This window comes from Homo sapiens, chromosome 8, assembly GCF_000001405.40.
Source record: "Homo sapiens chromosome 8, GRCh38.p14 Primary Assembly".
NCBI classification, from domain to species: domain Eukaryota; kingdom Metazoa; phylum Chordata; class Mammalia; order Primates; family Hominidae; genus Homo; species Homo sapiens.
In genome coordinates, this window is record NC_000008.11 from 82,487,270 (window position 1) to 82,500,174 (window position 12,905).

General features: G+C 34.9%; 1 long non-coding RNA gene across 1 annotated transcript in view; it reads left to right on the forward strand.

Annotated features, from left to right (window-relative positions):
• The window catches only part of LOC105375931 (uncharacterized), a 190,238-nt gene that overhangs the window by 44,547 nt on the left and 132,786 nt on the right, over positions 1-12,905 (forward strand). The window contains exon 2 of the long non-coding RNA XR_929115.3: positions 876-1,004. This is a non-coding gene — a long non-coding RNA (uncharacterized LOC105375931). The remainder of the gene's footprint in view (positions 1-875; positions 1,005-12,905) is intronic.

Consider the following 12,905-nt stretch of genomic DNA (forward strand, 5'->3'; position numbering starts at 1 on the left):
ATTTTAGTTTAATATATATTGTAAAGCAAAATAGAGCTCATTTCCTAAGAATATGTATGATTTGACAGTATTTATGTTTTGGTTAAAGTTTGTGCTGACAAAATGTAAAATAGACAATAAAGGTATATTTTAGGATAACACGGTAAGATGCTACAAAACAACTTCATAAATTAGATCCACATGCCTAAATTTAACTTATAAAAGCTTTATTTTGAAGTAAAAATATAAAAAAATTTTACTGGCAAGGTACTACCTTATTTTATGTCAATATTTCCCACTATGTAAGTACATATAGATTAGTAAATACAAGGGCCTCTTTTTAATAAAAATTATAATAATAACAATAATTTTTATTGGAGTAGCAACAATTTAATAATTGTCAAACATTATCTTCCTTTGGGCAGTATGAATGTATCTATCTATAGATATGGATATAGATATAATAAACCTTAAAAAGAAATCACCACAAAGACTGAGGATTTTTGTTTTTTTAAACTTTTATAGATCAATAGTGGTTCAATCTAATGGTGTACATAAGAAGATATAAAATTTACTTTAAAAACTCAGTTTTATATTTTATAATTTGTATTTCTCATTGGGTCACTTTTTAAAAAATATAAAACATATGTGAAAGGAGTATTGCTATTATTTTTTAAGACTTTTTCTAAGAACTACTTTGCTTAATTAAGGTAATAGAATTTTGAAATATTTTTAGAAGATTTTTTAGAAGATACTACTCTATTGGAAATATTATTATTAAAATATCAAATAAAATCTATACAGGTCATTACTTGAGAAACAGAAAAGTCTACATTTGTGAAGGATTTTAAAAAGTAATTACACAACTGATGTATTATTTCTAATTTTTCTTGCAGGAACAAGCTCTGAAGTCTTGATCCAAAACAGACAAGGCTTTAATATGAAAGCATTTTTCTTTGAAGAAGTTCACCCTGAAGCCTTGGCCCAATGATCTCAGAAGATGAGAGAGAATGGCAAACCAAAAAGTAAGATAGATAAGTGAGGCAAGACCAAAAAGTCATTTAAAGGTCAAAAGAAGAAGATAAATTCAGTTACATTATTCTTTGAAAAGTGGCTTCCGCTCATGCATAAATGCCAACATTTGAAAGTCATTATCAAGAATATCAAAGGAGAAAATGTTCTTCTTTGTATCTTTCAATTTACTGAACAAGAAGTTTCTTTGCTATAGAATGCTAAAACAAGAAAGTATGCAACTGAAAATTTTTAGGTTATCCCTCGGTAACATTTGATAACCTGTCATATTCATGACAAATACATTCTTTAGTGGTAGCTTGGGCACATTTGTTTTGGCTTTGGATGGGAAATAGTACCATAAACAATACTCAATATCTCTGTGCCATTCAGCCAGATATGGCAAACCCAGTATTTATTAAGGGCTGCCTCCTGCTTCTCTAGGTTTTTCTAGACCAGAGGTGGAACCTGATAGAGCCTTTTTCATATGCCCACAGAAGTAGCTCTAGTTTAAGGGTAGACAGTGGTAATCCAAATTCCTGAATTCAGCCCATGTCCAACTTGAGTGAGAATCACTCTTATTTGGGGTGTCAACACCATTCTGGTGCCCCAGTCTTGCAGTTCTGGGTGAAATCATGAAGGGAATCATGTCAGCCAGTGGTGGTGATGGTAATGTTGCATGTGGGGTCTGTGGGCAGGGTTGGTACAGTATTAGAGAACCTCCTGCAGAGGAGATCAAAATCAGCTCCTTACAGGTATCTATCCAGGTTTGAGGTGCCCTGCCTACATGGCACTGCAAGCTCTAGTTTTTGAATAATAACAAATAAAGTGGATTTAACTGTGGTTAATTTAAATAGGATATTGGATTTTTGTTCCTAATCACGAACTTGGCTAGCTCATAATTTAATATTTACTTGATGTCTAATTAGGCAAGTGTCTTGTTAACTGTTAAATTAAAGTTAGAAATGGAATATATTTGAATAGTCCCCTTTGTTATAAGGATGATATCTTATTCAGATCACTCAATTTCTCTTCATTCTTGAAGAACTTATTACCTATTTTTATTAATTATTTTCAATGAGCATTTTTTAAGAAAAAATTAACTGTACAAATTTTAGACCAACAAAAATATTGTACTCAACCCATTTCTGCTAAGGTTAACACTTTACAAAGCCTAACAATTGTATCAATATCAGAATATTAACATCAATGTATTTTTAAAATTTTTTAATTAGTTTTTTTAAATTATACTTCAAGTTCTGGGTTACATGTGCAGAATGTGCAATTTTGTTACGTAGGTATACACGTGCCATAGTGGTTTGCTGCATCCATCAGCCCGTCATCTACATTAGGTATTTCTCCTAATGTTATCTCTCCCCTAGCGCCCCACCCCCTGACAGGCCCTGGTGTGTGATGTTCCCCTCCCTGTGTCCATGTGTTCTCATTGTTCAGCGCCCACTTATGAGTGAGAATATGCGGTGTTTGGTTTTCTGATTTTGTGATAGTTTGCTAAGAATTATGGTTTCCAGCTTCATCCATGTCCCTGCGAAAGACATGAACTCATCCTGTTTTATGGCTGCATAGTATTCCATGGTGTATATGTGCCACATTTTCTTAATGCAGTGTATCATTGATGGACATTTGAGTTGGCTCCAAGTCTTTGTTATTGTGAACAGTTGCCACAGTAGACGTACGTGTGCATTTGTCTTTATCGTAGAATGAGTTATAATCCTTTGGGTATATACCCAGTAATGGGATTGCAGGGTCAAATGGTATTTCTAGGTCTAGATCCTTGAGGAATCGAAACACTGTCTTCCACCATGGTTGAACTAATTTACATTCCCACCAACAGTGTAAAAGCATTCGTATTTTCCCACATTCTCTCCAGCATCTGTTGTTTCCTGACTTTTTAATGATTGCCAGTCTAACTGGCGTGAGACGGTATCTCATTGTGGTTTTGATTTGCATTTCTCTAATGACGAGTGATGATGAGCATTTTTTCATATGTCTGTTGGCTGCATAAATGTCTTCTTTTGAGAAGTGTCTGTTCATATCCTTAAATCAACTCAAGATGGATCAAAGACTTAAACGTAAGACCTAGGACCATAAAAATCCTAGAAGAAAACCTGGGCAGTACTATTCAGGACATAGGCATGGGCAAAGACTTCATATCTAAAACACCAAAAACAATGGGAACAAAGGCCAAAATTGACAAATGGAATCTAATTAAACTAAGGAGCTTCTATTCAGCAAAATAAACTATCATCAGAGTGAACAGGAAGCCTACAGAATGGGAGAAAATTTTTGCAATCTACCCATCTTACAAAGGTCGAATATCCAGAACCCACAAAGAACTTTAACAAATTTACAAGAAAAAAACAAACAACCCCATCAAAAAATGGGCAAAGGATATGAATATTAATGTAATTTATTAATTGAACTACAGACTTACTAAAATTTTACTAGTTTTTTTATTAATGTCCTTTTTCTGTTCCAGGATTCTGTCAGTGGTTCGATGTTGCATTTTGTTTTTGTGTCTTTCAAGTCTCTTTCAATCTGTATCCATTTCTTGGTCTTTCCTTGCTTTTCTTCACCTTGACAATTTTGACACACTTAGACTAATGATTACTATACTTGTTGCCATAATGCCCATCAGCTTGAGTTTGTCTGATGTTCCTTATAATTGGAATGAATTTATGCATTTTTGCAAGAATAGCACAGAAATAATGTTATGTTCTCAATGCATAATATCAAGGACTTTATGATATCACTATGTCTCATAAACAGGGATGTTTACCTTGATCACTTGCTTAAGGCGATTTTTGATAGGTTTTTCCAATATAAAGTTACTTTTTAGTCTACTTGCATTGCTATAAAGGAATACCTAAGACTGGGTAATTTATAAAGACAAGAGGGTTACTTTGGCTCACAGTTCTGCAGGTTGTACAGGAAGCACAAACCGATATCTGCTCCTGGTGAAGTCCTCAGGAAGCTTTCATTCATGGTGGAAGGTGAAAGGAGAGCCATTGTGTTACCTGACAAGAGAAAGGCAGAGGGGTCCCACTCTTAGACACCAGATCTCACATGAATTCAGAATGAGAACTCATTCATTACTGTGAGGAGGGCACCAGGACATTTATGAGGGATCTGCCCCCATGACCCAAACATCTCCCACCAGGCCCTAACTCCAATATTGGGGATCACATTTTAACATGAAATTTGGAGGTAAAAACATTCAAACTATATCAGTTATTATCTTTTCCTGTGGAGTTAATAAATATATTGGGAGAAATACTTTGAGGATATGTAAATCCTGATTCTCCTCATACTTTCACACACTAGTTTTATAATCCATTATCTGCAACTAGGTAAACATTCTTTGCTCTCTTTCTTTTTTAACTCCTAGGAAGCTATACATTAGGTTGGAGCAAAAGTAATTGTCGTTTTTGCAATTACTTTTAGTTTTGCTCTAGTGGTTGCTTTTGGACTTATATCTTCACTAACACCATTAATGCTAAGTTTTATTATTTGGCTATTTCATATCTTCTGAATAACTTACTGCCTTGGTAACAATTATCTTTGTCTGTTTATGCTTTCCTCTCATCTAGTGTTTTATCTGCATTATTACTACTTTGTCAGAATATATGACATTAATCATCCACCTTCATCTTTACCTTTGTTTTAATTGTATATGTATATTTACATGTTTTATAATGCTCACCATCAGTCTTCAGCAAAAGTTTTCTCCATTATCAACTGGATGCCATTATCTTGTAGTAGATCCTCTGAGAAAGACTAATAGGCACAGATTCCTCTAAGTCTTGTATATTAAACACTCTTTTTCTAAGAGTTGATATTCTAAGGCATCTTGCCTAGATATAAATCCCTGGGTTCAAACTGTCTTTTACTGAATTTTTAAAAATTGCTGCTCCATTGGTACCTTGCTTTGTATGTTGGTTATAAAAAGTCTGCTGCTTGTTTAATTCTTTTGCTTTTGTGAATGATTTGGTCTTTTTATCTAAAGACCTTGAAGATTTTATCTTTATCTTTGAAATGTAATTGTTTTACTGGGAAATGTCTAGGTAGTTATTATTTCAGGATAACTTCCTCAAGTGTTTGGTAAGTCTTTTCAATGTGTAGTTCTTTTCTATCTGAAAATTTTTGTTTATAGTTTTAAATATATTTAATGTTTTCACTTTTTTATGACTCCAATCGTATAAATATTATTCATTCTTTGTTGGTTTGTTGGTCTTCAAATTCCACTACTTTCTTTTTAACAATTTTGCATTGTTATGCCATTTTCATTATTTTGGTTATATTTTTCTTTTTCTGCTTTCTTTTTTTTTTTTCAGGATAGGTTTACTTAGTTTATTTGTGTAAAATTTTGTGTTTTGATTTTTAAAAATATTTTTCTCTTAACTCTACATTTCTTTTATTCATTTAAGATGTTAAGTAATTTTACTAAATTCTTATATTAGTAGTATCTTTTACTGCCAGACTAGGATAATTCAAGTACAAAATCAGAGTTAGTTTGCCCATTTATTTGATCATCTGTTGGTTTGGCTGGTCTGGATAGGTGGTAGGTCTTTCAATCTGATGTACGGTTTTTCTTACCCTTTAGCCACAGAAGACTCTAAAACTTTCCTTTTTTCTTGTTTCTGTCTTTACCACCCAATTGCCAAAAGACACCTTCTCCTTCCTATTTGTCTTTTCATTTCAAATAAATTATGTATTTAGAATCCTGTCCCTTATGTCTTGCTCATAACCTTTAAACTAAAGTTGTGCCATAAGCTGTACACTTGGTCCTTTCCATAGCATCTATGTTTTTAAATGGCACCTTCTCTGAAATCCCTTCTCTGTGGTCTGCACTCTGACTTGCGAAAATACTATTTTAGTATTTTAAATTTTCAGATATAATAGTTTTAATTTTTCTGGTGGTTGCTCGAACTCTTCCCAAGGAACCTCCTTTGTCTTCCTTGCAGTTTTGCTCAATTGGCCTTTCCTCAAAGCCTTGCGGAGGTGCAAAGTTGGAGATGACACGTTAGACCAAAATGCTGGGGTTTCGACTTTTTTATTTCACTTACACCTTCCAGTTTTGGCATTCTCTGTCATCTAGTAATGCCTAGGGTATAATTTTTTGTAGAATTTTCTTACTTGTGAGGTTATTTCATACTATTTGAGAAGGAATTTTGAGGAGGTGAATTATACACCTACCATTGTCTTAAGCAACCTTAAAAGCCCCTTTTGATAAGTGGACCTTTTATACTGATTCTCACTTGCTCAGAATTGTGTCACAAAGTGGAAGCTAATATTTCTGGGTCCAGCAACACTCTTAATATATCATTAGGAATATTTTATATATTTCCATAATGTATGATCTAAAGACAAACTGATGGAAGTAATTAACTCAGGTCATACTAGGTTACATTGCTCCATAGAAAATATCCTTCTTACTCTCATGTTATCTTACTATACATACGCTAAATTCTAAGGTACTTGTGACCAGTAATATACTATATATTTAAATTTTACAGTATAATATAGTATAGTACTGACAGTAGTAAAAGAATAGAAATTAAAATTGATACACTTACCTGAAGAAGGCTTTCATCACAGTAGAGTAAGATAATTGGATATAAGATAAATGGAGTGAGTCCATGACAGAATACACTTTCTGTGGGCACTTAAACTAAGACAGGAATAGCTATTATTAGGTTTTACAAATAGCTCACTCTAGGTGGAAGGCAGACCACTTCAGTGTCTACCTCTGGGAACCAAAAGACCTAAGATATATGAGGCCTATGTTGTCTAAAGATGTTCATGTAGATTCATAGCTCCAAGTATTATGATTGAAAAGTGGTGCTTCTCCACTAGGGACACCACCAGTAAATATGCAATCCAGATAATTTCACCTCAACCTATATATTTTAACATAACTCCCATTCTATAATCAATCATCCCTCTATGTTGTATATCTTCCCTTCTATTAAAGTCTTTGTGTATGTATGTGCACATGCATGTGCGGATGAAAGGCTCATAAGCCTGTTCTGACTAAAGCATATATGGTTAAGAACATGGAAATATAATCTCATTACATATTTTTATTTGTAATAGGTAAAAATACCCATGTCTATATTGGTCCACTGAAAAGGCTTTTTAATTATATAGTTTCCTGTCTGAGAAATAAGATAGGGGAGGAGGATGCATTAAAGAGCGCAGCTTCTTTTACACATTGAAAGCATAACATGCATATACGTTTTTGTAGACATGTATATAAAAATGTATATTAATTTTTCCCGTATTTGTCATGTTTCTGTTATTGTTACTCTGTGAAACTCTGAAAATATTATTTTTGGCTGAAAAAGAATTTTTAAAATTATTATTAAAGTCATCAAAGTGGTTTTATTTTAGCATAACCACATTAAAAATTGTTTATTTTTGAAAATGCCCTATTTTTATGAAAACATGAATTTAACTTGCTTTAATTGTATTTTATACATACAGGCAAATATAAATCTGTTTACACATACATATATTGATTTTTGCCAATATAATTGTATGTCTACCCCCTACACACAAACACATGTATACAGCCATACTATATATACATGCTTAATTCTATTTTATAAACATTAACTTGCTTTTGTACCCATGGTAGTTGGTCTTATTATCATTTTTCCAATACAGATAACATTTTCCAACATACAATTTGGTAGGACTGTGTCAACAGGCATTTTTATAATAATAATAATACAAAGTAGAAATGACAGGACACTTTTGTAGACTAATCTCGATACAACCAAAATAGTTGGTGTCACAAAGGTAAAATGCCTTTGTTAATCATGAGCATCATCATCCTTTATAAAAAGAATTTAATAATACAGTAATTTATAATATTAATTATATTAAAAGCATATTTTTGTTACTCATTTTAATTTAGTATTTTGTACTCTTATTTTAGTGTAATGATATATGTTCTTCTAAAGTGGAAAAAACTTAATTAACATAAAAATCCATGACTCTCTGCTTTGGATCACTATTTCCCACTTTATATCACCCCTTGTATTCTACTAAATGTTCCTTTGAAAATAAGGTTAATGTGCTAATATGTTAAAAAAGTACTAAATAATGTAAAATTCCTTTGGAGAGTCATGCTGCACATAAATCAGTTATAGCTTCTGTAATAATACTAAACATAGTCAACTTACATGAAATGTCACAATCTTTAAAAGGGCAATTTTATATGCTAATATGCAAATTGTGAGTAGGATTTCAATGCATTCAAATATTATTTATTAAAATTATTCACAATATATGTCATAAAAAATTAATGGGAAAGCTTAATTTTTAAAATTCAAGTACTCTTGAATTCAATAAACATGACTAAAATTGCCTGTGGGGGGAAAAACATATTCTTTTATCTTGAATAAAATATTTAAACACTTTTTATGTATCTTAGGAGCTGAACCTGGGTATGGAAATTTTTAATTCTAAGGAAACTTCTTGTGAAAATTATTATTTGATTAAGAAACGTATTAGGGAAAAGAAAGGAATATTTATGTCTAGTGATAAATTTTCTTTTAGTGATGTATTTTGCTTACATAGGAAACATAAAATTAAAACAGTGCTATTATGGAAAAGTCAGAACAAGAGTTAAATAATGTGAACTTGTCATATGCTTGGCATGAGACCAAGGTCATGACTATTATCAATACATATTGTTGGATTCCTATTACAGGTAGCACAAGTTTACTTACTCAGTTTTCTTGGAAAATCTTGAATTGATAACAAGGAAAACTAGCAAAATCAAATAACAAGTTGTCAGATGAAAGAAACATTCCTGATTTCACATAGAAGTTTCCAGCATGAGTACAATTCACACAGAGGTTTCTAACTTGAATTTGAGATACAGCATAGTGGAGAATGAGGATGTGCCGAGAAAAGAATATATTTTAGGAATATGAGTCAAGTGATCAATGACATTTTCATGAAAAAGTTTCAGCAGGCATTAAGAAATTTCAAGACTGTCTAGATAGGCAAAAAATCACTTTTTTTTTTTTCAGAATAAAATCTATAAGAAAAGTCCAGAAATAAAATGAGTGATAAAGCAAAGTAGTTGACAAACTGTGTAACCAAAACAGTGTAAAGAAGATGTCAGTGAGAGAGATTGGGTGATTTGTAGATCAAAGTGGAACAAGGAATTAAAGAGCAGAGATTGAACAAAGAAAAGGACGAAAAAATGGTATCTATTTAATGAATGAAAGTGAAAATCAATCAGCTGAGTGCAGTGGCTCATGCCTGCAATCCCAGCACTTTTGGAAGGTGAGGCAGATTGCTTGATTCTGGGCATTCCAGACAAGTGTGGGCAACACAGCCACACCCTGTCTTTACCAAAAAAAAAAAATTGTCAGGCATGGTGGTGTGTGCTTGTAGTCCCAGCTACTCCAGAGGGTGAGGCAGGAGGATCACTTGAGCTCAGGAGTTTGAGGTTGTAGTGAGCTATAATCGTGCCATTGCACTCCAGCCTGTGTAACAGCATGAGATCTTGTCTTGAAAAAAATAAAATAAAATAAATTGAGAAAGCGTAGAGCTTTTAGTAGCAATATATGGGCAGATTTAATTCAGAATGCAAGTACAGTCATGCATCATTTAACAATGAGAATATGTTCTGAGAAATGGTTAGGTGATTTTGTCATTGTGAGAACATCATGGAGTGAATCTTCACAAACCTAGATGGTAATAGCCTACTGTATACCTAGGCTATATGGCCTAGCCTACTGTTCCTAGGTTATAAACCTGTATAGCATGTTACTGTACTCAAATTTAGGCAATGGTAACATAATGGTATTTGTGCACCTAAACATATCTCAGTGTAGAAAAGGTACAGTAAAAATACAGTATAAAAGATAAAAAAACACCTGTATAGGGAACTTACCATAAATGGAGCTTGCATATTCGGAAGTTGTTCTGCGTGAGTCAATGAGTGGCTAGAGAGTGAATGTGAGGTTCTAGGACATTATTGTAAACTACTGCAGACTTTATAAACACCGTACATGTAGGCTTCAATAAATTTATTAACAATATTTTTTCTTCAATAATAAAGTAACATTAACTCATTATAACTTTTTTACTGTATAAATTTGATTTTTTAAGTATTTAAACGTTTTATACTAATAAAAACATTTAGCTTAAATCATACATTGTACAGATGTATGCAAATATCTTCTTTGTTTATATCCTTATTCTATAAGCTTTTTTAAATTTTAGAGTTTATTTATTCTTTTATTTTTTAAACTTTTTAACGTTTTTTGTTAAAAACTAAGACACTGTATTAGTCCATTTTCACACTGCTATAAAGAAATGCCTGAGACTGGGTGATATGGTTTGGCTCTGTGTCTCCACCCAAATCTCACCTTGAATTGTAATCCCCATATCACCACATGTCAAGGGTGGGACCAGGTGGAAATAATTGAATCATGGGGCCTGTTCCCTCGTGCTGTTCTCATGATAGGGAGTGAGTTCTCATGAGGTCTGATGGTTTTGTAAGGGGCTTTTCCCTCTTCACTCAGCACTTCTCCTTCTTGCCACCTTGTGAAGAAGGTGCCTTGCTTCTCTCTTGCCTTCTGCCATGATTGTAAGTTTCCTGAGGCCTCCCAAGCCATGCAGAACTATGAGTCAATTAAACCTTTTTCCTTTAATAAATTACCCAGTCTTGGGTATTTCTTTATTAGCAGTGTGAGAACGGACTAATACAGTACATTGGTATGGGGTAGTGGGGTAATGCTATAAAGGTACCGGAAAATGTGGAAACAACTTTGGAACTGAGTAACAGGCGTAGGTTGGAACAGTTTGGAGGGCTCAGAAGAATATAGGAAGATGTGGGAAAGTTTGGAACTTCCTAGAGACTTTTTGAATGTTTTTGACCAAAATGCTGATAGTGATGTGGACAATGAAGTCCAGGCTGAGGTTGTGTCAGATGGAGATGAGAAACATGTTAGGAACTGGAACAAAGGTGACTCTTGCTATGCTTTAGCAAGGAGTCTGGCAACATTTTGCCCCTTCCCTAGAGATCTGTGGAACTTTGAACTCAAGAGAGATGATCTGAAATTGGAACTTATATTTAAAAGGGAAACAGATCGTAAAAATTTGGAAAATTTCCAGCCTGATGATGCAGTAGAAAAGAAAAACCCATTTTCTGGGGAAAAATTCAAGCAGGCTGCAGAAATTTGCATAACTAATGAGGATCCAAATGTTAATCACCAAGACAATGGAAAAAATGTCTCCAGGGCATGGCAGAGGTTTTTAGAGCAGCCCCTCCCATCACAGGCCCAGAGGTCTAGGAAAAAACATGGTTTCCTGGGACAGACCCAGGGCCCCACTGCTGTTTTGTGCAGTCTTGGGACTTGGTGCCATGCGTCCCTAACTGTGGCTAAAAGGGGTCAAGGTACAGTTCAGGCTGTTGCTTCAGAGAGTGCAAGCCCCAAGCCTAGGTAGCTTACATGTGGTGTTTGGCCTGCAGGTGCACAGAAGTCAAGAATTGAAGTTTGGGAACCCCCATCTAGATTCCAGAGGATGTCTGGAAATGCCTGGATGTCCAGGGAGAAGTTTGCTACAGGAGCAGAGCCCTCATGTAGAACCTCTGCTAGGGCAGTGTGGAAGGGAAATGTGGGGTCAGAATTCCCACAAAGAGTCATCACTGGGGCACTTCCTAGTGGAGCTGTGAGAAGAGGGCTCCATCCTCCAGATTTCAGAATGGTAGATCCACTGACAGCTTGCACCATGTGCCTGGAAAAGCCACAGACACTTAATGCCAACCCATTAATGCAGCCAGGAGTGGGGTTGTACCCTGCAAAGCCACAGGGGCAGAGCTTCCCAAGGCTGTGGAGCCCACCTCTTGCATCAGTGTGACCCAGATATGAGACATGAAGTCAAAAGAGATAATTTTGGAACTTTAAGTTTAAAGACTGCCCTATTGCATTTTGGACTTGCATGGGGCCTGTAGCCCCTTTTGTTTTGGCCAATTTCTCCCATTTTGAGTGGGAGAATTTATCCAATGCCTGTACCCCCCCTTGTATCTAGGAAGTAACTAACTTTCTTTTGATTTTACAGGCTCATAGGCAGAAGGGACTTGCCTTGTCCCGGATAAGACTTTGGACTGTGGACTTTTGAGTTAATGCTAAAATGAGTTAAGACTTTGGGGGACTGTTGGGAAGGTACAATTGTTCTTGAAGTGTGAAAAGACATGAGATTTGGGAGGGGCTAGGGGCAGAATTATATGGTTTGGCACTGTTCTCACCCAAGTCTCACCTTGAATTGTAATCCCCATTATCCCCACATGACAAGGGCAGGACCAGGTGGATATAACTGAATCATGGGGTGGTTTTCTTCATGCTGTTCTCATGATTATCAGTGAGTTCTCACAAGATCTGATGTTTTTATAAGGGCCTCTTCCCCTTTCACTCAGCACTTTTCCTTCCTGCCACCTTGTGAAGAAGATGTCTTGTTTCTCTCTCGCCTTCTACCATGATTGTTAAGTTTTCTGAGGCCTCCCCAACTATGCAGAGCTGTGAGTCAATTAAACCTCTCTCCTTTATAAATTACCCAGTCTTGGGTATGTCTTTATTACCAGCATGAGACCAGACTAATACACTGGGTAATACACTTTATTACCAGCATGAGACCAGACTAATACACTGGGTAAATTTATTACCAGCATGAGACCACTAATACACTGGGTAATACACTGGGTAACTAATACACTGGGTAAAAGAAAAGGGGAAAAAAAAATTCTACATCATACCTTAAGGTTGACAAATCTAAAAAAAAAGAGGTATAATTGACTTATGGTTCCACATGGTTGAGGAGGCCTCAGGAAACTTAGAAACGCTGTAGAAGAGGAAGCAGGTACGTCTTAC